The sequence below is a fragment of the Homo sapiens genome, chromosome 22 (assembly GCF_000001405.40).
Source record: "Homo sapiens chromosome 22, GRCh38.p14 Primary Assembly".
NCBI lineage: Eukaryota > Metazoa > Chordata > Mammalia > Primates > Hominidae > Homo > Homo sapiens.
In genome coordinates, this window is record NC_000022.11 from 45,583,404 (window position 1) to 45,611,113 (window position 27,710).

General features: G+C 51.6%; 1 protein-coding gene and 1 long non-coding RNA gene across 2 annotated transcripts in view, besides 1 other annotated feature; one reads left to right on the plus strand and one right to left on the minus strand.

Moving 5' to 3' along the window:
- The window catches only part of FBLN1 (fibulin 1), a 98,253-nt gene extending 80,521 nt beyond the window's left edge, over positions 1–17,732 (plus strand). The window contains exon 17 of the mRNA NM_006486.3: positions 16,904–17,732. Within this exon, the coding sequence (NP_006477.3) occupies positions 16,904–17,043 (140 nt within the window). The 3' untranslated portion in view covers positions 17,044–17,732. The remainder of the gene's footprint in view (positions 1–16,903) is intronic.
- Positions 17,919–18,491: an enhancer, noted in NCBI's record as "H3K27ac-H3K4me1 hESC enhancer chr22:45997202-45997774 (GRCh37/hg19 assembly coordinates)". NCBI's record gives its function as "activates a minimal SCP1, AML or CMV promoter by ChIP-STARR-seq in primed H9 embryonic stem cells {active_cell/tissue: H9 hESC(primed)}" and the evidence as "EXISTENCE:reporter gene assay evidence [ECO:0000049][PMID:30033119]".
- LINC01589 (long intergenic non-protein coding RNA 1589) lies at positions 21,029–22,244 on the minus strand. The gene is made up of 2 exons (NR_131244.1): positions 21,998–22,244; positions 21,029–21,355 (listed from the first exon to the last, which is right to left on the minus strand). It is a non-coding gene; the product is annotated as a long intergenic non-protein coding RNA 1589 (long non-coding RNA).
- Between the last annotated feature and the right edge of the window lie 5,466 nt (positions 22,245–27,710).

Here is a 27,710-nt window from a genome sequence, read left to right on the forward strand (position 1 = left end):
CACCTATATTACATTTAGGAAGGAAACGCCCTAATTGGAGACTCTGCATCTCATTAATGGAATCAGATGAAACGATGTATGTGAAAGCTCCCAGCAGTGCCTGGCACACAGTGGGTGCACAGGATGTAAATACTGATGGAAACCTAAATGTTCTGTAAATATCAGTTCTTCCTAATTTCGCCTTGCCGTCTCTCTTGAGAGTGGCTATACCTTCTAGGCCTGATCAGGAAGGAAGCTGGGTTTTGGTGTGCCAGTCAGGTGAGACGCAGAGAAGACAGCACAATCAACACAGGAAGTAACAGAAGCAGCTAGTTACTCACAGGTCCTAGAGAGGTGGGGAGCACCCCTTGCAGGGCCAATGGGAAGGGGAAGCGCCTGCAGCATGAGAGAGAGAGAGAATGAGAGAGAGAGACAGAGAGAGACCTGTGGGACCAAAGCCTTTACTGGGGTCCAGGGTGTTATCCAGGCAGGTTTCCCGTGAGGAATTCTAACTGGGGGGCTTGGAGCAGGCAGGAGTTCCCTGAGGTCATGCGGTGGCGGATGGGGGTCACTTCTGCATAGGCCTGCACTATCGATGTAGGTGTGAGGGTCTTTGGGTTGTATCCAGCTGTCCCATAAGGCAGGGGCCCCCAGGAGGTGGTGGTATAAGGCAGTCCTCTGGGTCAACCGCCTTAAGGAACTGGGAGGAGGTGGAGAACTGGAACCCGCAGCAAGGGTGACTGAGCCCTGCTCTGGTGTGGGAGTTAAACGCACATTCAGAATGCGTGCCGAGGCAACATAGGATGAGAAGCCGGCACAACACCCAGGCTTTTCCATGAAAGTGAACTTGACAGCCGCTTTCCCACATTGTCTGTGCTGAGTCGTGGGAGCCTCTGAGTTTTGCCAGTGTGTCAACGCGCTCCTGCAGCACTCTCACCCCCACTTAAAGGGAACTACCACAGTTTATGTTTTGAAATCGCATTTTAAATTCCATCTGTGGGTGTATAAGGATTATTACCCAATTTCAAGTTTACCGTTTGAAAAATAGCAATGGCGTGAGTGGCCCCTTTTAGGCAAAGTGTGATTGGGTCTGTGTGGCCGCGGCAAACTGCTCTGGGCTTGCGGCTTTGTTCTCTGTTTCCAGCTGTGTGACTTTAGGCAAATTTCATAACCTGTCTGAGCCTCAGCTTTCTTCTCAGTAAAATTGCCATAATAATATTTGCCCTGCAGGGTAATAGGGACTGAGGTGTGTGCCTGTTTTAACATAAGAGTGGTCTAGTCTGGAGGATAAATGAGCCGCTGGGAGGAAGAAGTTTGGAAATGGAGGGCTGGTGGGAGCCCGGAGCCTTCTTAGGGGACAACAGGCCAGATCAAGGATGATGGGACAGGGCCAGGACCGTCCAGCCCAAAGTGGCTCCAACTGCCCAGGACCTACTTAATAGGCAGATCTCGCGGCCTGGGCTGGTGAGGCCGGCCTGGCCGGAAGCAAGTCAGCAAGCAGGCCTCTCAAGTCCTATCATCCTTGAATTATCTTATTCATTCAACAAGAACATCCTGGGGTACTTTTCTATGCCAGGCCCTGCACTGGGTACTGCAGAACAAATCTACATCCAAGCTACGCATCCTGCTTTTAAGAAGCTCCCCACCAGCATCCATAGCATCCTGCCAGAGTTCCCACAGCTGAAAGTGCTTGTGGTTTAGGGGTTGGTGTCATCCCAGTTCATGTCTGAGAGAGAGAGAGAAGTGGCGTGTGGCAGGGCTGCTATGTACAGTTGGATGTGTTGTGCACTGCAAAATCTAGGCAGCACCATCCACCGGTGAGTCTATTTGCAGTACACAACCTGCTCAACTGTATGCAGCAGCCCCGGTACAAGGGCTTGTGAATGGAGATATCTACCTAGCTGTACCTCTCCCCCTGGCCAGGCAAGGCCTCAGTCAAGGCTTGAGACCGTCCATTGTCCCAGCCAGCAGGGCCCAGATCACCTCGTTAAAATTATTACCTCTTAAGGGGTTAAATGTGCGCCGCTGACCGCGTCCTGCAGCCCATGTGGAGAGTTTGGCCCGGGATCAGTACACATTACAAATGAGATTCAGAAATTCCACCTAAAAACAACAGCGCGGCCGTCCCTGCCCAACGATGAGTGATTGCCCTGTCCTGGCTTTCACGGCAAATCCCAGGGATGACGCGCTTTCTCTTTTCTGGGAGACACAGCCCTGTCACCCCGGGGGCCACACCCTGGCTGGCAGCCAAGTTCTTTCCCAGGGTGCTGGGCCCGGCCTCCTCTGGGCTGGGATCAGCTGCGGCCTGACTCCATCTTGAGCTGGGGGTGTCACCGAGGGTTCCAGGAGGTGGAGGGCATGGGGACGAGGGTGTCTCAGAGACTGGGAGATGGAAGGAGAACACACACCTTTTCTGCTCCCTATGTCGTGACCCCATGGGGCAGAGATGGGCTCTGAGGCATCAGAGCCTGTGCCCTGTGTGACGGCGCGTAGCCCCCCGAAACAGCTGCTGTTATCCCTCCTTGAGGTTATCAGCCCCCAATTCCCCAGATACCAAAACTCTCAGAAGTCACCCCCGTCACAAAGCTGGTGACCCTCCCTGCAGCAGCTCCTGGGCTCAGGCCAGACCCCTCAGAAGGCTTGGTAGCATTAATGGGGTACAGTCTCTGCTTTTGAGCCTACTTCAGTGAGACACACAGGGGGCCCCAGGGACCAGTCCCGGAAACCTCCCTGCTCAGTGGGTGGCCCCTGGACAGCCTGGGCTGGACCTGCAGTAACGTGGACAGCATTCATTCGGAGCTCAAGGCCTCAGCCCCAGGAGACGCCCTGTCCATGTGAGTGCCGCACTGCACACCCGAGATTGGTTTTCCAGCCCAGGACCTGGCTAGGAAGGGTCGGCGGGGTACAGCCCGCTCAGCACCCCCTGCCGTGGCCGCCTCTGCAGGAGGAGACAGCATGGTGGGGAGAGGGGACTGTCTTGCCCTGCTGAACCCCCAGGGGTCGGCTACACCCCTCTCTACAGGCCTTTTTGGTGTAGCGCAGGTGAGACAATGCAGCCAGAGAGGTTGGGAGATTACACAGCTCCACATCTGCGGTGTCACCGTGGACGGGACCGTCATGGTCCCAGCGGGAGGGTGGAAGGAAGCCAAACTTGAGACGTCTGCCTTGCACAAAGGCAGTGGTGCTCGTCAAGGTTTGGGCTGGAAGACTTAGCACCTGGCGGGCATCTGAAAATTTCCATCTCCCGTGCCTGCTTGGTCCCCACGGACACATGCCTGAGCCATCAGGGACTGCAAATCACAGGGGTGGGAAGACAGGGACGCACACTGAGCAGGTGAAAGGTGGTGGGGGGTAAGCAGGTGTTTCGGAAGGAGTAGAGGAGGGCCCGGAATGGGGCCACGTAGGAAAGGGTCACATCCATTCACCCTGGAGTCAGCCCGAGGGCCCAGGCAGGGTGGGGTCCTAGTGATGCCTGTCGGTGGGTGACATCAGGCCATCCACAGCACCGGGAGCCAGCAGAAAGGGCTGGGCCAGGCCATGTGGACAGGGTCTACGGACAGTACAGGGCCAGAGGTCCCTATTCTGGGACCTTGACATGCTGCCGTTCTCGTGAGCTTCTGGGGGACTCCTGCGAGGCATGTGGGCTGCTTCTCAGACCTGCGGGTACCCCACCTCCCAGATGTTGTCAATGGGATGTGAGGTTCACGAGCACGTCACGGAGCCTCTCCCCTCGTCATGTACGTGCGCATCATGGCAAAATGTGCCTGGCCACTGGTTCCTGACGCTGGAAGGCACGAACCCACTCCCCACACCCACAGCCGGCGTTGCTGTGACTGCAGTGTCTGTGTTCTAAGCCCCACTTTTCACATCCATCCCCGCTGCCCGGCCAGAGAGACGTCCTCAGCCCAGAGCCCCACTTTTCACATCCATCCCCGCTGCCCGGCCAGAGACACGTCCTCAGCCCAGAGCCCCACTTTTCACATCCATCCCCGCTGCCCGGCCAGAGACACGTCCTCAGCCCAGAGCCCCACTTTTCACATCCATCCCCGCTGCCCGGCCAGAGAGACATCCTCAGCCCAGAGCTTCCTATCTCCCTCGCCTGCTCCTACCCTCCAGAATAAAATGTGTACGAGGTAGGGAATCTGTGCTTGTCTGCCAGTTGTGGTCACTGCTGTATCTCTTAGAGTGGGGCTTACCCCTGGGGGCCCAGCGCTCAGGGATGCGTGGGCTCCAGGCTGGAGAGAAGCACCCAGATCTACCAACTGGCCTTCCGGCTCTGCAGAGCCGCTTGCATCTTACTCCTTCCTCTTCCCTCCGCTCTGCTTCAGCCACTCCAGCCCATGCCTCAGACCCCAAATATTCCATGGCCTCTCTCCTCTCCTGGACTGTAGCCGTGACATTCACTTCCTTCTCCTTTTGGTGAACTCCTATTCATCCCTCCAAGCCGATGTCAGCTGTCACCTCCTCTTGGATGCCGTCCACACGCTCCACATGCAGAGTGTGCAGCTCCTTCTTTTGTGCTCCAGTGGCCCCAGATGAGCCCCTTTTGCAACTCTCCTCATACTCATTCTCCCAACGAGTAATGTGTGTATCCCTGGGGGCAGGTCCTGCTCTGAGGAATGCAGCAGTGACTAAGGCAGACATGAACGCCTCTCTCATACACTTTTTATCCCAGAGGGTAGGAGTACACGAGAAACAAGCATAATATATACACGGTCAGATGGTAGTGAGGGCTGTGCAGAGCAGGGGAGGGGAGTGGGAGGCGGGGTGCAGCATGGCGGTACAGCTTTAAATCTGGTGGTCAGTGACATTTGTCAAAGACTCAGGAGCTGAGGAAGTGACCCACACAGAGATCTGGAGGAAGAGGGCTCCAGGCAGAGGGAATGGCAGAGTGCTGGAGTGGCCATGCCTGGGGAACTCCTTCTGGAAAGTCTGTCGTGAACCAGAGCAGATAAATGCTTGTGCTGGGGGGAGGGGTGTCGTGAAAAGGGAAACACCAGGAGTTGTGGCATTGGGAGTTTCTTCGCTTGACTTTCAATTCCACCAAACAATTCCTAGACAGAAGAGCCTCCAGGGGTTTATTCGTGCAAGGCTACCCTCTGTCACCCTGTTTGTCCTTGCTTCTTATACACACACAGAACAGATGCACCCACTGGGGTCACCCCAACCCAGCCCCCAGCAGTTGCCCATAACTGGCCGCAGGATCCCACACACCTGCTGACTTCCAGAGTCACCAAGGGGTTAAAAGGGGCTGGGAACAGCCTCTTAGTCTCCAGAGCCTCCCGCAGGAATGATTTGTGACCCTCTTAGGCTGCTGGTCTGCACCTTCTGAAAAGCCTTTAATATCACCGGGCACATTCATAAATTATTCTTTTTTAAAAATGAAATGTTTTAGCCAAACAGCAGTAGAGGCATGTTGTGCAAAATTAGCAAAAAAAAAAAAAAAGGAATGACGATGATATGAATCTTTTGGCGGCCTCTCCTAACCGTCTTTAAATCTGCGAAAGGATCTCAGTGCCCGCCATTACCTGGCCAGCACCGGGAGGATGTCAGGTGCTTCCAGGCGGACTCTGCTAGGAACATTCCATCTGTGGCCAAGGCTATCACAGTCCTCAAATTAACAGCAAACCCCGCGTGGCCCTTGTGGTGTGCCAGGCACTCTTCTGGGCATATATATGTATTTTTTATATATAAAAATATTTTTTATATATATAAAAAATATATAAAAATATTTTTATATATATAAAAAATATGTAAAAATATATTTTTTATATATAACTTGCTCCTCATAGCAACCCTGTAGATCATTATTCCCATTTTCCAGATGAGGAAACTGAGGCACACAGGAGCTTCCAGGCTCAGGTGACATGAATTAAGAATGCACACATCATGCTGGGACTCTGTGGGGTTCCTGCTGTCATGACTTTCCCCAGCGACCTTGGGGAGGGCAGAGTTCTACTCTTTGAGGCTTGACCCGGTCCTGAAATCTCAGTTGTCACTTCTGCATCCTGACAACATGGAGCACGGTCCATAGCGTAGGTGTATCGTAAATGTTCAGTCCATGGCAGCGCAGACAGTCATCTGCAGATTCGCGAGCCTCTGGGATGATGGCCTGGAAAAGGGACATTGAGGACGTGGCCTTGCTCCAGCCTGGGGGGGCTCTGTGCCATGGCCCTGCAGCAGGGGGCCCCTTTCTGCCCTGAATTGGCTCATTCATGGCGCCTCTCAGGAGTAAAGGAGAAGAAAGTGATGGTTCTCCACCAACTTCACCTGTCCCCTCCTGCTGAACTCCAGCAGCGGCTCCCATGGCTCCAGGAGAGAGAAGGGGCATGACTGGCCTGCCCTCTCATCAGCCTCTCCCCTAGCCCTCCCTCCTTTACTCTCATCTGCTCAGGAAAACTGAGAGCACCAAGCTGCCTCATGTCTCCACCCTCCCCGCAGAGCACCCTCCCCGCAGAGCACCCTCCCATCGCCCTTTTCTTGTTGGGCACCTCGTTCTTCAAAGTCAGTTCAAGGTTAACCCGTTGGGGAAGCTTCCATGACACCAGTTCCCGGTTTGGGGTGTGTATTTCTCCGAAGCTCTCCCAAAGGAGATTTGCTTACCTTTATCAGCCTCTGCTGCCCCAATCCCCTGTGCCTGCTCTCCCAGTGGCTGAGAGCCCCATGAAGAGCCAGACCAGGGCCAGGTGATGTTGGTAACCCCAGCACCCAGCACTGCAGCCACCCACAGCAAGTGCTCTGTGCTTGTCAGATAGAGAAGAGAGGGCTCTGCTCTGACCTGCAGGCCTGGGGCTCAGGACCCCCTCTCTGCACTCAAGGGCTGCCCGCCAGGCCAGCCTCTCTTCCCCCCCATCCCTCCAGACCTTCATTGCATCTGTAGAAAGAGGCAGAGTAGCCTTCACTCCGGAAGGCAGAGGGCAGGACTTGGCCCCTCTGGTGTGCCCACGTCTTTGAGTGAAGTTGGCAAGACTTGAACTCGTCCTGCCCTTCGTGGCCCCCTCACCTTGGGGGATTGCAAGGGGTTCAGTGTGGCTGGGGCAGTGTGCTGAGAGCTGGGCTGGACGGGGCCGTGGGCCTCAGCAAGATGCGTCTCACCTGCTGTGAGCCCGGGTGGGGGTAGGGTGAGAAGAGCCCCCTGCAGAGCCACAGTGGGCCCCCACGGTTGGATTTACCTCCTGGCTCTGAGCACAGTGGGAAGAGGCATGGGAGGGGTGAAAAGGAAGGTGGTACACGTGTTCAGGTAGATGCGACGAGGCCGGAACTGAGGCCAGGTGGGGTTGTGGGGAGAGAAGGGAGGAGAGTCTGGAGACCTTTAGGAATAGAATCCATTGGCCTCAGTGATGGTTTAACCTGAGGGATGGGAGTAAGGGGCCTATCGAGGGCGACTCCAAGTTCCTGGCTTGGGGGTACCTGCCTGGAGAGTGAGGGGTAGGGGAGGAAGGGAAGTGGGTTTAAGGGAGGAGGGTAGGTCAGTGTTTGGCGTGCTTGGATTTGAATTGTCCATCTGGGAGGGGCGTCTGGAGAAATTGGAGTGGACTCCGAGTTTGGGTCGGGGGCCCAGGAGGACCCCACCCAGCAGGTAGGTGGGTGGAGGCTGAGGTCGGCTCAGGAGACACACGGAGGGAGGGGACATGATTTCTTATCCCTCTAGTCTCAGTCACAAGTTCACTTCTCCTAAAAGGAGGTGCCTCAGACAGCAGATCCTTCCAGAACTCTCCCAGACCTTGTCTTCCTTTGGCAAGGCCACAGAGCTTGGTGGAAGGGGCAGTGGCCCAGGGTCTGGGCTCCAGTTCTGGTTTACTGCTTGCTGGCCGTGTGATTGTCAGCAACTCACGTAACCACACAGAGCCAAATTTTCTCCCCGGTGAGCCCCCACTGCCTGCGTTTGCGATGAGAGGAGAGACAGTCGATGTGAGTGAGCTCTGTGATGACGAAGCACTGCAGAAATGTTAGTTCCCACGCCACAGGTGAAGGCTGAAGGGCTTTAGTCCAAAGCTGACATTTCCCTTCATATTTTTCCCCAAGGGGAAAGGTGCACCCTGAAACGAAGAGCTGTCTCTTTCGTTCAGCTACCTTCAGCTGTCCCCTCCAAACTGTCTGATTTAGCTCACGGGAGACCTGCGGAAGGAGCACATTTATAACCATCAAGAAATACGGATGATGAGTTTTGCTGAGACATGTTGACTGACACTTAGTATTTTAAATATGCAGCCCAGACACCTGTCCCCCTTGCTTCCCGGCTTTTATGGCGTTTCTCAGCCAAGCAGAGAAGACCAGGTTTCGGGAGCTCAGTCCCTTCAACTGCACCACCAGCTTCTGATGCGATTCTCTCTAATTGCTTTCTGCTGTTTTTGCCGTGTGTTTATGACTCAGCTAAGGGCAGTACAGTCGGGAAGTGTCCTGCGCGCCATTTTGCAGACAGGAGGGAGGAAGTGTCCTGCGCGCCATTTTGCAGACAGGAGGAAGGAAGTGTCCTGCACGCCATTTTGCAGACAGGAGGGAGGAAGTGTCCTGCGCGCCATTTTGCAGACAGGAGGGAGGAAGTGTCCTGCGCGCCATTTTGCAGACAGGAGGGAGGAAGTGTCCTGCGCGCCATTTTGCAGACAGGAGGGAGGAAGTGTCCTGCGCGCCATTTTGCAGACAGGAGGAAGGAGATGTAGTGGGATGGGAAGATCTGGGCTCTGAGGTCAGTCCCCGCTGGACGGAAACCTGCGGCCCTGTTAGCTCCGTGATCTGGAAGGTGCTACTAGTAGCGCCTCATTTTTCTCCCCAGGAGAAGGAGGGCGACCGTGTCTCATCCCTAACTGCGATGGGGGCTGAATGCGGCTGTGGGCACATAGGGTCTCTCTGTCTCCACCCATGTCTCCTGCTGTGTGGCCTCTTTCCAGCCCATCCACACTCTAGTTGGTGGCTTTGTGAGTGCTGACAATACTTCCATGTGCTTTTTTGTTTTTTCTTTTTTGAGACAGAGTCTCGCTCAGTCACCCAGGCTGGAGTGTGGTGGCGTGATCTCGGCTCACTGCAACCTCTGCCTCCCATGTTCAGGTGATTCTCCCTGCCTCAGCCTCCCGAGTAGCTGGGATTATAGGCGCCTGCCACCATGCCCAGCTAATTTTTGTATTTTTAGTAGAGACAGGGTTTCGACATGTTGGCCAGGCTGGTCTCGAACTCCTGACCTCAGATGATCCACCCACCTTGGCCTCCCAAAGTGCTGGGATGACAGGCGTGAGTCACCACGCCCGGCCGCACATATTCTCAACGTTTCCTCTTTGCCATTGGTCTGTGCTGCTCGTCCTCGCCTGCAGGAACTGTGGAGCCTCTTGGGGTGAATTTACTGAGGCCTGGTGATGGTTTGCTTCTTCCCAGTTGCCTGCGGTGCTTGTGATGGGCAAGCCTGTTTGGGTCTCCTCTGAGCTCCTGGCCTCTCTGTTTCAGCACCTTGTCCACACAGCCCTACACTTCCCTTCCTTTCTGCTCATGGCTGGCCCCACATGGTGGCCACAGTTAATTTCCACTGGTATGAGATATTGTGCAGTCTCTTGATTCATCATCTGGTTTGCTAAAATGCTCTTTGACAGCCCTGCACACTCCATTACACGTTGTCAGCTAGAATCACAAGCCTCACGTTGGAGGCTGCACTTTAGAAGGGAAGATGACGTGCCCAAGGTCACACAGCTGGTCGATGCAGAGCCACCTAGGAACTCGAGGCTGTAACTCTAGGTCTCTTTATAAACCAGTGTCTAGAGTCAGAGACATGAGACTCAGGCAGAGAGACCCCCCCCACCCCCCGCCACTGACTTTCATCATTTGAAACAATGGAGAGACAATCAAGTGCAACATCAAATAGCAGGAGCTGAAAGATGGCTTCGAGATGGGGCCGAGAATGTGGACCACAGAGCCCAAGAGGCAGCGAAGGTCTCCCCACTGCACCCGAGCACTTCGTGTTCAGGATCCTGGATCCCCAGCACATCAGCTGCAACTTACAGAGCAGAGCCAAGACATGAAAGTGAAGCGCCCGAGGGGACCTACATTTTTCAACAGGGAGAAAAAAAGTGCTTAATTATATCTTTAAGAGGCACAGACACGCCAAGGGATACCAGCAGCGTCTGAGACCTGAAGCAGAAATGCCAGGGATGAGGATTTGGAAGATTAACACAATTGAACTCAGCACTGTGGCCTTTTTTTTCTTTCTGGGGCTTCGGAAAGGTAGGAGGCAAACACCCTGGCAGGTAAGACAGACAAGCCAGGTGTGATGGAAATGCACCTCTTTGTCCTGCCTTTTACTGCTGGGGTGGTCCTTCCAAATGAAACTGCTCTCACCCGGAGCCTTCAGTGGCTCCCCTTTCCTTCAGGACAAAGTGTTGTCTTCGTTCCTAGATTGTGAGGCTTCAGGGACTGATTTTCCTTCTTCCTTCTCTCCTTCCTTCACTCTCTTTTCTTCTTCTTCTGCCTTCATCTTACGACGTGTTCATGGCAGAAGGCCTGCCATGGGCCTGCCAGGGCCTGGGTTGGGGATGGTGGGGCAGAAATGAGCTGACACTGTCCCTGAACAAGGAGGCCGACTGTGAGCGTCCCCTGCAATGAGCAGGTGCAGTGTTGCAGTGGAAAGAGACCAGGTGCCAGGTGACATAGGGGGTCCAGGGAAGACTTCTGTGAAGACTTCTATGAAGCATTCCAGCTGGTCCCAGTGTCTGGCACATGAGACATGGCAAATCAGAGTCTGTAGGATCAAGTGGATGGATGGAACCAGGCCCCTGGTGGCAGCTCTCATGTTTGCGATGCTGCATGTGGGCAGCGAGTGTTCCTTGCTACTTCTTCCTCCTTCCCTTGCCTCCCTGTGTTAGAGAAGTTGGTGGTGGTTCTGAAAGAACAGTGGTGTAGAATTCGTGATGGGGAGGCAGCCAGGAAATGACCCAGCTTCTTGGTTCTCTGAGACTGACGAAGTGAGGTCCTGGGGCAGTCCCCACCAGATGAGGCACGTGGCTCAGCCTCATCTGCCTGCCTCTCCCCAAGATTGACACCGTTCCCAGAACCGGCCTGAAACTTCATATTTTTGGGCTTTGCACTTGTCCTTCCTGCTTCCTTGGCTCATATTTATTCCTCAAAACCCAATTTAAAGCTTCCTGTTTAAAGCTCCTCTGTGCAGAGTAGCCTCTAATGGATGGGTGGGTGGATTCATGGGTGGGTAGCATCTAATGGATGGGTGGGTGGATCCATGGGTGGGTGTGTGGGTGGATGGACAGATGGGTTGATTGGTGGGTGAATGGATGGATGGTTGGATCCATGGGTAGGTGAGTGGATGGATTGGTGGATAGATGGATGGATGGATGGATGGATGGATGGATGGATAGATGGATGGGTGAGTGGATAGATGGATGGATGGATGAGCAGATGGTTGGGTTGATGGGTGGGTGAATGGATGGATGGTTGGATCCATGGGTAGGTGAGTTGATGGATTGCTGAGTGGGTGGGTGGATGGATGGATGGACGGATGGATGGATAGATGGATTGGTGAGTGGATGGTTGGGTTGATGGATGGTTATGAAGCTATGAAGAAAAGTGGTATCAGAATCTTGATTCTGCAGGCATTTATTTGGCATCTATTATGTGCCAGGAACTGAGGACCAGCTGAACTGTTAAGGTCCTCTTTCATGAAGTCCTCCCTAGCCACTGGCCTGGGTTCAGTCGAGGTGAGGGCAAGGAGGTGGAAGTCATGCTTGAACTAGCCTGGAGATGGAGGAAACCTGTTCCCCAAACCAGAGCCCAGGAAAATGTGGCTAGGCTGGAGGAGTGTGGGCAGGTCCGCTGACAGGGCATGGCCTGGGAAAGGGGGTCCTGGGTTGAGTGGGGTTGTGCACAGACTGGGAGATGCAGTGTGGACTTCAGGTCAGAGGGGAGGGATAGAGAAGCGGATTTGGAAGGTCAGGAAGGGGTGCACATTCCTTGAGCGCCTGCTGTGTGCAGCCGTACAGTCTGTTGTTCAACCCTCGCAGCATCCCTACTTGTTCTACCTTAATAACTTTTCTTGTTAAATGCAAAGAACCTGAGAAAATCCAGGCCCCGAATCTGACCATCAGTGATTCAGCCTAGCGCCTCCCTTCCCCTTCACAGCACCCTTTTCCCTAGTGTGGTCCTTCCTTTCTAGTTGCTCGTCTCACCACGCAGCTGTTTACAATCAGCTTGGAGCTCTGGTCTTCAGCCATTGTAGAGACCAAACCTCGTGAAGTACTCTGGTGCAATGTATTTAGGGACAATCATTTTCTATATGTTCAGGGCTTTCCTCTCTCATAAATCAGTCCAAGAGAAATACTTAACACCTGCTGTATGTTTCTAAGAATTCAGCCACGCTTTGGCTGGGAGTCAGATCACTTTAAATATTAGAATGCTTTTTGATAGCCAGTGGTCATTTCTCAGTGGAAAGAAAAAGGATGACATCGAGTTTGATTTGTTTCTGATTTTGAAGGTTGCTGGGGTTTTTTTTGTTTTATTTTTGGTTTTGTTTTTTGAGACAGAGTCTTGCTCTGTCGCCCAGGCTAGAGTGCAATGGCGCGATCTCAGCTCACTACAACCTCCGCCTCCTGGATTCAAGTGATTCTCCTGCCTCAGCCTCCTGAGTAGCTGGGACTGCAGGCGTGTCCCACCACGCTCGGCTAATTTTTTGTATTTTTAGTAGAGACGGGGTTTCACCGTGTTAGCCAGGATGGTCTTGATCTCCTGACCTTGTGATCCGCCCGCCTCGGCCTCCCAAAGTGCCGGGATCACAGGCGTGAGCCACTACGCCCGGCCAAAGGTTGCTGTTTTTAATCCCTGTTCATAGAAGAGGAAATTGAGACTCAGGAAGGTCAAATAATCCATCTGGGGGTCCTACCACGGAGCCAGGTCAGTTCGTATCCTGCAGGTCTCAAAGGGCCTACTTAGAACGTCTGTGGCAGGTCCCTGTCCCACATGGAGCTCACTGCATGAGCACTTTCTTCTTTCTTTCTCTGTCCCCAGACTGACCCCTGAGGACAGACCTTCAGTTTCTCTACATTCTTATTTAGCCAGTGCCAGGCACACGTAGCATGCGCAGACCCTCTGTGCATTGGAACTGTTGATAATATTAATGGTCCCACATGCACCAGGAGTGTGTATTTAAATATAGACATTTAAGATAAATATATAAATATATCAACATAAGAATATGATAATTATATATACATATATCAACATAAGAATATGATTACTATATACATATATCAACATAATAATATAATTATATACATATATCAACATAATATAATTATGTACATATAGCAACATAATATGATAATTATATATTTATCATGTTTATATTTTATATATAAATTTTAGAGTAAATGTAAACATTTTATATGAACAAATATGGATATTTATATATAATTATATTTACATATAAATACACTTATGTGTAAATATAATTATATAATAATTATATAAATTTATATGTAAATTTATAAAATACACTTTAAACTATTTAAAATACAGTTATATAAATTTGACATACTTTATAACATATATTTTTAATATATTGTTTTATATGTATAATAGTTATATATCATATATGAAACTATATAATATACAGAAATATAATAATAACAGAAATAGATCTCTTTTTTTTTGGGACAGGATCTTGCTCTGTCACCCAGGCTAGAATGCAGTGGCACAATCTTGGCTCATTGCAACCTTGACCTTCCCGGGCTCAAACAATTCTGCCACCTCAGCCTCCTGAGTAGCTGGGACTATAAGCACACACCACCATGCCTGGCTAATTTTTGTATTTTTTGTAGAGACAGGGTTTTGCCACGTTGCCCACGCTGGTCTCGAACTCATGGGCTTGTGATCTGCCCGCCTAAGCCTCCCAAAGTGCTGGGATTACAAGCGTGAGCCACTGCACCCAGCTGAAACAAAGACATATCTGACTGTTGCTTGTGGAGGTGCCTGCCATTCCTCCCTACAGTGATTCACAGGCTCACCCAGCCTCTCCTTCTCCTTCAAGCCCCAAACCTCTGAATGCCAGGAAGGGTGGTAAGAAGTGTCTCTGCGCCTAGTACCAGTAAAGTTGGCAGGTCACTGTGGCTAGCGGGGGCACCATTGTTGGCCTCGGGCCTGGGGAGAGAAAAATATGACATACAGGGGGCCCACGGGGGTACGTTAGGTTCAGCCCTGTAAGCCCACACTGACCCTGGTGGGCAGACCCAGCCCAGGGAGGGGCAGGCAGGAGTGACCCCGTCATCAGGTTCTGCTGGCGAGCCCAGGGTGGTGACAGGCGCACGTCTTTTGCCGGGAGCTGAAGACGTTCATGGGCTTTCAAGCAGGACAAAGCTTCAATGTCATCACCAGGTAGCAGGCAGAGCAAGGGTGCTGACAGCCTGCAGAAGCCTGTGCTTATCTCTCCATCGGAGCTAAAGCCCATGTTTGCTTAGGGAACAGCCTGAAATTCCACCCCAGCTGCTGGGCCTTTCACTTTTGAAACATAAGCCCAGAGAGCGAAAGGGGGGAACGTTGTGCCCAGATTCTCTTTCTGAGCGTGAACTTGATGTTCCTGACCAGGAACCAGCCACTCGTACCGAAGGCCTTCCTGACCCCTCAGTTCTCCCCTGAGCCTTTGCTGTGTCCTGGGCACCAAGAGGTGGAGATAGGCTGTCACCGTGCACGTTTCCTAAGCCTGCAGAGGAACTGTTCACAGAATCCAGCCTGGAATCAGCCGTTTGTGGCAAACAGTCAGTAGCTATTTCTCAACTTGTGGTTGTGAAGCTGCAGGCTCCATATTCGCTCTTCACAGAGCATCCAAGCAGGTGTCTCAGTGCCAGCTCACACCGTTCACACTGCTCACACCAGCTCTGGAGAGCTGCTTGTACACATCTCTCCACAAGTCCACTTTCAGTGTTGCCACGTGGTACCGGAAATTTGCCATAGAAATTGGCCGATGGTACGACCAGAGAGCCACCTGTTAGATAGTTACCCCACATCCCCACCCTCAACACCACCTTAGACAAATCCTACTGTCAGAACATGTGGAACGGAGAAGGGACCTTGGCGGTTCATTCATAAATGTCAGCACCCATAGGTCTGTGCCTGTTTGGCCGCAGACACTGGGGAGCAGCCTGTAGCCTTGGCTTGTGCAGCTTCCTCTGCAGGAGGGGTGCCTCTTCCAAGAAACCTGTCCTGACTCCCCAGCCCTCCCCACCTCCATTCTCGCCCCCGCTGGACAATGCACACCCTCCATCAGAGCGTGGTGCATACCTTTCATCCTAGATCTCCCACCAGCTTTGAAACCAGCATCCTGTTCATGATGTCTGGAACCCTGGGAACTGTCCCAGCACCTGTTTAGCACATGTGTGCATGCGAAGGGGATCTGCTGAGTGCTCTGCTCTGGTGGGAAGGCCGCTCTGCACAGCTGGAGCTGATGCCTTGGCAGATGCTGGGCATCTGAATCGTGCAGTGCAGGAGCACAGGGGCATGGCACCGTTTGTTGCTGGGGAACCTAGGCCTCAAAAGGGCCTCAGCCTCTCCGCAGTGCAGTGAGGACTGTCCCATACTCTCACTGCGTACAGAGTATGGGAGAGTCTCTGTGAGGCTTTGGGTGCCCTGCAGAGGGAAGGCAGTGCCAGCTGGGCCTGGTCGGGGGCCATGGAGATGGCGGGCCCAGGCTGGGGAGGACTTGTGGCACCCACTCCCTTACCCGCTAACCCGGATCCCCTGGAATCTGCAGAATGCCTGGGGTTGCTCCTCTTCTACCCTGCCGTGGCTGAGCTTTGTCTGTGCCCTGTCCTCTGGCCACGGTCTTTGCCTGATCCCTACCCTGGTACAGGCAGAGCTCCCTGCAACCCCCAGCTGTTTCCCCAGAACTGACACCAGTCTCCCTGCACCACCCATCCTCCTTTTGACTGCCCTGGGGACGCCACTGCTGCTCTGATCCTCTGTCACTCCAGCCACCTCTTGCTTCCCTGTTATCACAAACACTGAACAGTGAGCTCAGGTGTCAGCCTCCACAGAGGCATGCACAGCAAGGGGTCCGGAGGCATGCCCCATGGAGAACTGGGGGTGCTCTGCTTGCAGGAGGATCCAGGGCCCATTGCAGTCCTCAGATGTTCTGGGGGAGAGGATACGCCTGCTTCATTTCTTCTCAGGGGTCAGAACTGGGCACAGGGGGTTGGAAGGAGGGAGAAAGATGTCTATCAGGTACCCACTGCATGCCAGGCCCTCTTCTAGGCTCCCTTAAAACCTTTCAGGTAGGCCAGTCACGGTCGCTCATGCCTGTAATCCCAGCACTTTGGGAGGCCAAAGCGGGTGGATCACCTGAGGTCAGGAGTTTGAGACTAGCCTGATCAACATGGAGAAACCCCGTCTCTACTAAAAATATAAAATGAGCCAGGCATGGTGGCACATGCCTGTAATCCCAGCTACTCGGGAGGCTGAGGCAGGAGAATGGCTTGAACCCGGGAGGTGGACGTTGCAATGAGCCGAGATCACGCCATTGCACTCCAGCCTGGGCAACAAGAGTGAAACTCCGTCGCAAAAACAAAAGACAAACAAAAAACACCTGTCAGGTAAATGGTGGTAGAGCAGAAAACCTGGGCTCAGAAGCTGGCATTGATCCCAGAGCCATCCAGTTTCAAAGCCCACACCCACAACTTTCCTCCAGGTTGGGCAGTGCATGATGGAAAGGCTGTCCCAGCAAGTAGTGAGTTCACTTTCACCAGTCCCTGGAGGCAGGAGCAGAGCCTGAGCTGACCACTTGGAAGGAGATGTTATTCAGGGGACTCGAGCATCTGGCGTAGGATGGGACTCCATGAGGTCTATGCCTCCTTCTAGCTCTGAAACTCCTCAAGGGAAACCATTTCCCAGATCTCTACGTTGCTGCAGTCCCTTCTAACTTCCAGCACACCTTCTGCTCTCTCCGCAGGTGTCGTGCGCCAGGTGCGGCCCATCGTGGGCCCATTTCATGCCGTCCTGAAGCTGGAGATGAACTATGTGGTCGGGGGCGTGGTCTCCCACCGAAATGTTGTCAACGTCCACATCTTCGTCTCTGAGTACTGGTTCTGAGGGCTGGTCTGCCGCACAGCCGCAGGTGCACCTCCAGGCCAAATCATTGCTGCCAGTGACTGTGGTCTGTACTTGTTTATACCCTCAGACTTTTTTAATGTTAGGTATTTGTAGCATTAGGCCAACATGTATTAAGCTGAGCCAGATGAATAAGTCCATCTGATGTATTTTCGGTGTTTAAAAAATGAGCCCAGTTGCTCAACTGTTTGGTTGAAAACCTTGCTCATTTTTTAATGCGAAGGCTAAGTGTCACCCCCTTTCTCTGCCTCTGGCTGGGCCTTGCTAAGGGCCAAGGAAAGAAAGACATTTTTTAGGGGGCAGCCAGTCCAAATGCCAAAAGAAGACCAGTTCTTGCCCTGATTGTATGAAATTTGACATTTTGGCACTTTTTTTTTTTTTTTGGCCAATCAGATTTTCTATGTTCTAAGGACATGGCTGCTGTAGAATAGCACAGACGTGGATGATAAATTATCCCCAGAAGCAGCATGACAGAATGCCTCGGGGAGCACTTGGAAGGGAAATTGCAGTTCTGTTGAAATAGAGGAAAATCCCTTGGTAAAGACACAGCCTGTTAGGCTCGTGTGGGCCTCCAGTATGTTCACCAGGGGAATGGCTGGGATTTCTCGGCACTCTGCATCATCCATCTTTTCTTATAGGTGGGAAAATAAACAACTTTGTGATCCTCCTGATGGCCTGTGCATGAGAGTCTTTCAAGAAGAGGGCTCTCTGCCAGCTCAGGAGTCTTCCGCCAGCTAAGGGACTGGAAATCTCCCCCCGCCGTCCCCCTGCCTCACCCCACCCAAGGTTGTCTCAGTGCTCCTCCTGCCCCTCAAGGTTCTGGGGCGGGGCCCAGCTTGTGTATTGGAAAAGCTTCCTACACACGTCGTTTTCAATGCCATGCCCACCCTCTGAGAAGTGTGGCTCGGGTTTGTTCCCTGCCCCATGTCCAGTGCTGCTAGGAAAGCCCAGGGCTCTGGCTTCTGTGTGACTTGCTTCCAATAGCATCCCTCGTGGCATCCTGATCCTCTCTAGAAATCCCTGGGGGCAAATAATGACCCTTCCGCAGCCATGAGTCCCTGCCAGACACAGGCCTGGGCCAGGCATTTGACATGAGGTGCTTCGCTCATTCCTCCTGGTGGCCCAGTGTGGTGGGTATGATCACACACAATCTTGAGATGGACAAACTGGGCTCAGAGAGAGGAACTTGGCTGCCAAAATTCACACATTTGAGAGACAAAGAGGGAATTCAAATTCCATTTATCTGAATTTAAGCCCTCTCTAAACCCTGTGTCAGCAATAGATATGGACAGACTGAATTTGTTGGGGGACTGACACCCCAATTGGCATCAGTGGCGGGGCCAGGGGCTCCCTGTGCCCCAGGGCCCACTCCGGCCTCCAGGGACTCAGCATCCAGGCTCTGTTTCCACACACGCCTCTCCTCCAAATCCTTCCCTAGGTTGATCCCATCCTCTTAGGTATGGACCCCATTTGTGGCTCAGAACCTCTCTCATCCTATGCCTCATTTCGCAGCCTGGACCCTAGCACTGGGTGAGATCTCAGCCCCACACTCAAGCCAACACCACTCCAACTCTCAAGAACATGGTCTCCACCACCTTTAGGAAGACCTTTCCAAGGTCACTTATTTGGGTCACTGGTCCATCAAAGCCAAGCCTGGGCCAGCCAAGTACAAGGCCTGCTGGAGCCTTGGCCGCTGTAGCTGGTGGGAAACAAGAGGCCAGGTGTGGGGCTGGACAGTCCAAGGAGCCACATCCGGGGACAAAACAAGTGCAGGGGACATCCATGCAGGTCTTGATGCCAGGGAGTTAGGGAATTGGGGTCCTGGCAGGGAAGCAGGGCTGGGAGCTGGCTGCAAGAATGAAAGGAAGACTCAGGGGGAGGGGCAGGAAATAGAAAGGGACATGTAGGGGGAGTGCTGCCGCCCACTTGCAGCCTGGGGGCAAATCTGCCAGAGCCAGGCCGTTCTGGGCTCAGCAAAGCTGGTTTCTGGGAGCCTTCTTCAGTAGGGTGGGGTGGGAAGACCGAGGTGCAGGCTGCTTTGGGAAAAGAGTTTCCCATATTCCTAACGGGAGTTAGGGCAGGCCAGGTGCAGTGCCTCACACCTGTAATCCCAGAACTTTGGCAGGCCAAGGCAGGTAGATCACTTGAGGTCAGGCGTTCCAGACCAGCCTGGCCAACATGGTGAAACCTCGTCTCTATTAAAAATACAAAAATTAGCTGGGCATGGTAGCGGGTGCCTGTATTCCCAGCTATTCGAGATGCTGAGGCAGGAGAATCACATGAACCCAGGAGGTGGAGGTTGCATTGAGCTGAGATCCACTCCAGCCGGGGCAGAGGAATGAGACTGTGTCTCAAAAAAAAAAAAAAAAAAAAAAAAAAAAAGGGCAGCTAACATGGGAAGAGTGAATACAGAGCCAAGCCCCCTGCTGCTGATTGGCTTTTGAATGAGCACATGATCCAAGCTGTCCAATCAGAGTCCTGCCTCAGAGAGCCTGCCGTCTGGAGCAGAAGAGGGCAGGAGGGGCCCGCAAGTAAGCGGTGAGGGCGCCAGGTTGAGGAGCCCAGGGGAATAGAGGGAGTCCTGACCCTATCTGATTCAGAATCAGGGAGGCAAAGGCAGACCTCTCTCGGCAGGGCTAGCAGGGCGAGTCACTGCCATCGTCCGAGCTTCAGTTTCCACATCTGCAAAGTGGAGATTCCCAGATGGCAGTGAGGAGCGCTGGAGAGCATGAGTGCAAGAGGGCTTTGTGCATTGCAAAGTGCTGCATCCGTGTGTGACGGCTTATTATCATTAACCGTTAAAAGCAGCGATGACGGTGATGACGATAATGGTTGCCACTGTCAATCGAGCCACATGAACGCGCTCTGGAAGCTTGGCATCTTTTCAATCCGGCATTTCCTTTTCTTAATCATCCTGGAGAGACTTGGTAGACAGTTGTGTAAATTACCCACCAGCTTAACTCTTCATATTTCATATCATGCTATGGGTTGGGCACCTGATGGACCCATAAGTATCTCATTATACTTGCAAAGTAATTACTGTCAGAGCCTCGCATCAGCGGCATTAAGGGACCAGCTAATGGGAGCTGGAGGTGCCTCTGAGTTCCTCCACAACAGTGATTCCTTCTTAATTGTAGCCTTAGAACAAGATAACTGAGGGACATTGCTAAAGGCAAAGCAGTTTATAAGCAGCATGAGACAGCAAAACACACAGAGACACCAAGTTGAATCCTTCTTGTTGATCTGGTAGAAGAAACTTGGAGGGAAGGTCCCAGAAGGTGTCATAGAGTGGTATTCGACCAGAAAGCTGCCTGTTTTTTTTTTTTATTCCTAAGGGACATCTATTCTACTGTACAGAGGAAGTCTGTGGCATGTGTCAGAAGTGCCTGGGCTGCCCAGGGTCCTAGCAGGACCCGTTTTAACATGCAGGTGGGCATTGAGTGGAGGGTGCCAGGGCCCACCCAGCCAACCCAGCCAAGCCAGCCAACTAGAATTCGAGGAGGTAAGCCAGCTTTTCCAAAGTTCTCAAGTTTGTCCAGGTGAAAAAACACCTGGAAATCAAGGGTTTTTTTCCTAATATTGTAACATGAAAATTTTCAAATATACAGCCGAGTTGAAGGAATTTTACAGTGAATACCAGGGCACCTTCCACCTAGATTCTGCCACTGACATTTTATGAGATTCAGTTGCATTTTGAAGAAATGACAATATGATGAATTAATAAATACAAATAAGAAACTTACAGTTTCTTGTAGGCTTGCGCTCAAATCCAGCCACTTACTAGCTGTGTGTCCTTGGGCACATTGCTTAATGTCTCAGAGCCTTGGTTTTCTCTACAACGAAATGAAAATAAGGACACATACTTCACAGGAGTGATTGTTAGGATGAAAGGGGATGATTACGTAAAACAGTGCAAGAACTGCTACACAGGAGGTCCTCCATAAATAGTACTGTCATGACACACACACCCGAAAGGATAGTCTTTATTCAGTTAGATGCCACATTTTATTAAAGTCTTGTGTGGACAAGAAGTGAAACCTCAGAGGAATTTATGAAGAATAATTGGAGGCACTTCCTTGTGACTTGGCTTCATCCGGACCGGATGACTTCTGGGTGCCAGCAACAGTTCCCCATTTCCATTCACGTTTCCCCACATCGTTCATGCCAAAGAGATGGGTGCCAAGAGGCCATCCGTCTTCATCCTGGACATAGAATGAGACGGGAACTCACTCTTGAAGGACTTTTGAAGTCTCAGAGAAGAAACGGAGCCACCGTAGACCTTTTGAAATACGGCCTGTGAGAAGCACGGTGACAGTCACCATTACTACCAATAATCACATTACTCTTTGTGGGAAAAAAGACCTACTATGTGCCAGGAAGGCTTCGGTAATCATCTCCAACACACACACATTCTCTCACACACACATGTGCGCATGTGTGCACACACACACACACCACACACACACACACACACACTCCGCAGCCCTTCTGCCATGCCCAGCTCAGGGCCATCTTCTCCCACAAGGATGCCGGTCTCATCTCCTGAAATGAGGTTGCAGTGAGCCGAGATTGAGCCACTGCACTCCAGCCTGGGTGACAGAGCGAGACTCCATATAACCTCTGCCTCCTGGGTTCAAGAAACTCTTGTGCCTCAGCCTCCCAAGTAGCTGGGATTACAAGCGCGTACCACCACACCCAGCTAATATTTTTTGTATTTTTTAGTAGAGACAGGGTTTCGTCATGTTGGCCAGGCTGGTCTCGAACTCCCAACCTCAGGTGATCTGCCTGCCTCAGCCTCCCAAAGTGCTGGGATTACAGGCATGAGCCACCGCGCCCGGCCTGATCTCAGTCTTTAAGAGAGCAGCAGCTCATCTGTGGCCACTGCTTCCCAGGGACTTGCCAGAAGGGAGGTGCAGGGCACAGGGAAATAACCCACCTCTATCTGACGGCTTCAATGGTATCGAATGTCCTCAGTGGCAGCACGCAGCACAGAAGCTGAGGTGTGGCTGCATTCCATTTGGAGAATTCCACTGTGATTCATGGTGTCAGCTGCGGGTTCAAGGTGTCACAATTTAATTATTAAACATCATGAGGCATTAGGAGGCTTGGGCACGCACTGATAAGTGATCCATTTCTAACACAGCTGGTTTATTACTGTTTGTGGCAGCTCCTGCACGAATTGGTGTCCGTTAACTAAGCAATGGTATTATAATTACACATTTAAATTATGTATGGGAAGGGTGTCAGTGGTAGAAGTCAGACTGCAGTGATTACTTTCAGTCTTCAGACCTCCTGGATGTAGTCTCTCTGCAGATAGCTGTAACTCTGGCTTGTTTTCTGCTCATTTTCTGCAGACATGTAGAATCCACTGCTAGGGTCCACTGAGCTGTCTTCTGGGTGGTTTTTGGTGCTGCAGGAGATAAACACATGTGTCTTCCTGGTTGGACCCAGTTGATGCACTAACCTAATTCTGTCCTTTGCCTGCCCTGATCTCCATAGCCTGCTTCTTCCTGGAAATTTGCTGCTGCTGCTGCTTCTTTTTTTTTTTTTTTTTTTTGAGACAGGGTCTCGCTCTGTCGCCCAGGCTGGAGTGCAGTGGCGTGATCTCAGCTCACTGCAGTCTCTGCCTCCCGGGGGTTCAAACCATTCTCTCTGCCTCAGCCTCCTGTGTAGTGTGGATTACAGGCACCCCCCACCATGCCCAGCTAATTTTTGTATTTTTAGTAGAGATGGGTTTTCACCGTGTTGGCCAGGCTGGTCTCGAACTCCTGACCTCAGGTGATCCACCCGCCTCGGCCTCCCAAAGTGCTGGGTCTACAGGCGTGAGCCACCGCGCCCGGCCGGAAATGTGCTTCTTTAGAGGAAAGCACCGTTGATCCCACCTCCTTGATCTGGTTTCTAAGACCTCATACAAACTGGGCCCGTTAGTCTTTGCTCCCTGATACTATCTGATACCATCTGGTCTCACTCCTTCCTTCCCATCTTGTTCATTCATTGGTTCACTCATTCATTCACTCACTTCACGCCCTCCCTCTGGTGAATCAGTTCCCCTCTGTCCTCCCCACTCTGTCCAGTCCTCCCCTAGGCTGCCAGGTTACATTTCCAAAACTCCGATCTGATCAGGCCCTCTTGGTCTCAGATCCTCCAAGGGCTTCCTTCAAGGGCTCCTGCACCAACCTCGTGGTGTGGCTGTGTGACATAATAAGAAACATTCACTTCTATTTGGTCTCTTTCCGGGTTCCTGACACAAAGCTCCTAATCCCTTGTCTTTGGTTTAATGAGGTGACTCTCAGTGGCTCCTGGGTGGGGTTGGGGGCTGAGCACCAGAAAGACCCAGATTCGACGAGGAGCCTGGAGCTTTTGGCTCCACCCCCACCCTCCAGGAAAGGGAGAGGGGCTGGAGATTGAGCTAATAATCCATCACGCGTAAGTAATGAAGCCTCCGTAAAAATCCCTGAACTACAGGATCCAGAGAGCTTCTGGGCTGGTGGACACATCCGCATGCTGGGAGGGTGGCGCCCCCCAACTCCACGGGGACAGAAGCTCCTGTGCCCGGGCCCCACCAGAGCTCGCCCTGTGTGCCTCTTCGTCTTCCTGTTCATCTGTATCATCAATAATGTCCTTTACAAGGACATTATTGTCCTTGTGATAATGAATGAGGAAGGAATTATTCCATTCAGGAAGGAATGAGACCAGATGGTATCAGATAGTATCAGGGAGCAAAGACTAATGGGCCCAGTTTGTATAAGGTCTTAGAAACCTATACATGTAACCAAAGTGTTTCCCTGAGTTCTGTGAGCCATTTTAGCCAATTACCAAACCCGAGGAGGGCGTTCTGGGGACCCCTGATGTGTAGCCAAGTCAGACGGAAGTGTGGGTAACCTGAGCGCCCAATCTTTGCAACTGACATCTGAAGTAGGGACGGTCTTGCAGGACGGAGCCCATATCCTCTCGGGCCTGTGCTAACTCTGGGTGGCCAGCGTCAGAATTGAACTGAAGTGTAGGACGCCCAGATGGTGTCTGCAGAGAGCTGGCCGGGCGTGGTGGCTCACGCCTGTAATCCCAGCACTTTGGGAAACCGAGGCGGGCGGATCACCTGAGGTCAGGAGTTGGAGACCAACCTGGCCAACATGGTGAAACCCCATCTCTACTAAAAAAAATACAAAAATTAGCCAGGCGAGATGGTGGGTGCCTGTGATCCCAGCTACTCAGGAGGCTGAGGCAGGAGAATCGCTTGAACCTGAGAGGTGGAGTTTGCAGTGAGCCAAGATCGCGCCATTGCACTCCAGCCTGGGCAACAGAATGAGACTCTGTCTCAAAAAAAAAAAAAAAAAAAAAGCGGGACAGACAGGGGTGGGAAGTTGGGGAGGGGGCTCTGGGAGGGGGAAGATGTGGGTGCCCCATGTGGAGCTAAGAATGGAGGAGTGGCAGGGGGCACAAGGTCACAGAACCAGGCTGAGGAAGAAGAGGTTGCCTGGAGGGTGGGACCCAGAAGCTACTGAAATGTCGCAGCAGAAATGGCCATTGAACGCCCCTTCTAAGGTCCTCGGTGGGAAAGTCAAGTCCTAACATCCTACATGGGGAAATCTACGCAGTTAGCAGAGCCAAATATGACAGCGACATGAGCCAGCCACTTTGGGAAACAGTCAAGTCCTAACATCCTACATGGGGAAATCTACGCAGTTAGCAGAGCCAAATATGACAGCGACATGAGCCAGCCACTTTGGGAAACAGTCAAGTCCTAACATCCTACATGGGGAAATCTACGCAGTTAGCAGAGCCAAATATGACAGCGACATGAGCCAGCCACTTTGAACCTGACGTTTCATCGTCACGTGAGACTGTAGCTCTCTGAGTCCCACACCCTGGTCACCTTGTCCTGGTTCCTGCACCTTTGAGGGTGAGTTATTCAAGTCAGCCGGTGGAGTAGACGGTGCTCCTGATCATTCCTAAAAGGCAACAGCCTTTTCTGCATTTCTTGCAGGAAAAGTCAGACAGATCTGAGAAGAAATCTCCAGATTCCCCAGAAAGCACTCTCTTGAACATCCTTTCCTGTGCATACACAGCAGGTGTTTAATTCTTGCTCTAGGGAGCAGAGCCCGTCCCAGTGTGAAGAGTGGCTTTGCACACAAGAAACTATTTCTCCATTGTCTCCCTAGATTAGAGAGGCCCCCAGTTGAAACTGCTTCCCCTGAGCCTTCGGTATTAGAAACTGGTAAAACCCCTCCAGAAGCATCGCCCTGGAAACTTGAGCACCTCAACCCCCAAACTCAGATCCCAGCAGAGAAAGCCTTTGGCATCCCAGGACCGAATGCTAACGGCGCTGAGGTCGGGTGAATCCGCTCTGGCCTGTGGTGATGGTGACTTGCTGTTGAGAACCTTAGTGTTTTGAGTGAACAAGAAGAAATCTATTCCAGCATGATTATTCCAATTGGGATTTAGGAGGACTGGGCATTCTCCACATTCCAGTCTTCTTCAGTTCCATGGGCTTAAGAGGGGGCTTATTTTTTTCTTTCTGTGCCACAAAAACTTGGCAGCGATGACTAACCTAGGGTAACATGAGAAAGCTTACTAGGTCGGTCTGTGGCTTTCCTGCTAGCTTTCCTGTTTGTCATACGACAGTGAGACCAATGCCAGCTCATCATGGCACAGAGAGCTTTGGGTGATCTTTGCAGCTGGATGTGAGGCCCAGCTTGGTGGGCTAATGCCCTGGAGAATGGGTACCTTGGGTGTTCAGTGAGAGGCACGGTAGGAGTGGGGTAGGGGTGAGAGGAAAGAGGCATGCGGAGCTCAGAGGTAGAAGCACAGCCTGTTTCTAATAGACATTAAAAAGAAAGGACACTTTTGGCCGGGCGCTGTGGCTCACTCCTGTAATCCCAGCATTTTGGGAGGCCGAGGCGGGCGGATCACCTGAGGTCAGGAGTTCGAGACCAGCCTGGCCAACATGGTGAAACCTCACCTCCGCTAAAAATACAAGAATTAGCCAGGCGTGGTGGCACATGCCTGTAGTCCCAACTACTCAGGAGGCTGAGGCAGGAGAATCACTTGAACCTGGGAGGCAGAGGTTGTAGTTAGCCGAGATCATGCTACTGCACTCCAGCCTGGGTGACAGAGTGAGACCCCATCTCAAAAAAAAAAAGAAAAAAGAAAAAAAAGAAAGAAAAAGAAAGGACATTTCTAACTGGACAGGGATGACCTTCGTTAGAGAAACAGCAGCAACTTGGCCTTCACCAGCCCCAAACAACACTGCCAGGTTGAGATCATTACTACCATTTTGCAGAGGACAAATGTGAGCCTCAGAAACGAAGAAACTCCCCCAGAGTAGGACACGGCCAAGCTGTTTCTTACCCTCCGGCCTCCTGTGCTCTTTCCATGACAAGCAGAAAGAAGAGGCTACCTTTGGTTTAAGGTCTCGATAAACTTTGACACTGTGGAACCAATCCTTCCTCCTTGCAAACAACATTCAGTTCAACTTGGTGAATCTCTATTGACCATTTATTATGTGCAAATGCCTGTATGCATGAAATAAAATTAAAAAATAAAATATGCATGAAATTAAAACAACACACAACAATAACCAGGCATGGACACAAGGCCTAGGAAGGGCTTGGCATGAACACACTAAATCAATTTAGCCGAGGAGACCATTCCCAATATTCTGGAGGGGGCAAGTCTGATATTAACTCCCCGGGGAAAAGAGCCCTTTCCTCGCTTACTCCTGGTAGGACCAAACCCAATATCTAGCACTTTTTACCAACTCTTTCAAGATCCTCCCAGAGAGTTTTTTCATCTGTATCAGTTCTCTCATCTGAAAAGTGAGCCTAATAATTACTACCTTGCAGGAGTTTGGGGAGTATGAAGCAAGATGGTGACTACAAAACGTGGGCACGGTGCCTGGTCCGGAAGAGGAGCTCAGAAAATATCTGTTCCAGTTCTTCTCTTCCTTTCCCAGGCACGTGCCTTTGTGAGTTCTCAGTAAATGTCACCTCACTCTCCTTTTTTAAAAAAATAAAAATTTTTCGGCATGTCTCCTATAACTCAGGTACAGGGCTAGGCCCAGAGATACAGTGATGAATGAGACACAGTGGTGGTTACGGGACTTACCAGCAGGATAACGTGAAGGCTGGCACGGGGTCTTTCAGGCCCAGTAAAAGCAAGTTTCTTTCATTGTTTATTGCAAATTTACTGAACTACGTTTTGTTTTCATCATTTGTGTTTTCTTAATTTTCTCTCAATGCACCAAACTGTTTAAGACAAAGCTCGTTTCAATTTCATAAGAGAAATGAATTCTAGAAGCAGGGTCCAATGAAGTTGGCCATTATTTAACTTCACTAACGTGAATAAAAGCAACCTATGCTTTTAGTATACAAATAATTTTGTAAAAGGTAAAGAGTATCATAATAGAAATCACCCTACACGATAGCCAAAAGGCGGAAGCAACCCAATTGTTCACCAATGGACAAACGGATAAACGAAATGTGATCTATGGCCAGGTGCAGTGGCTCATGGCTGTAATCCCAGCATTGTGGGAGGCCAAGGATGGCAGATTTTTTGAGCCCAGGGGTTTGAGCCCAGCCTGGGCAACATGGCAAAATCCTATATCAACCAAAAAAGAAAAAAAAATTAGCTGGATGTGGTGGTGCATGCCT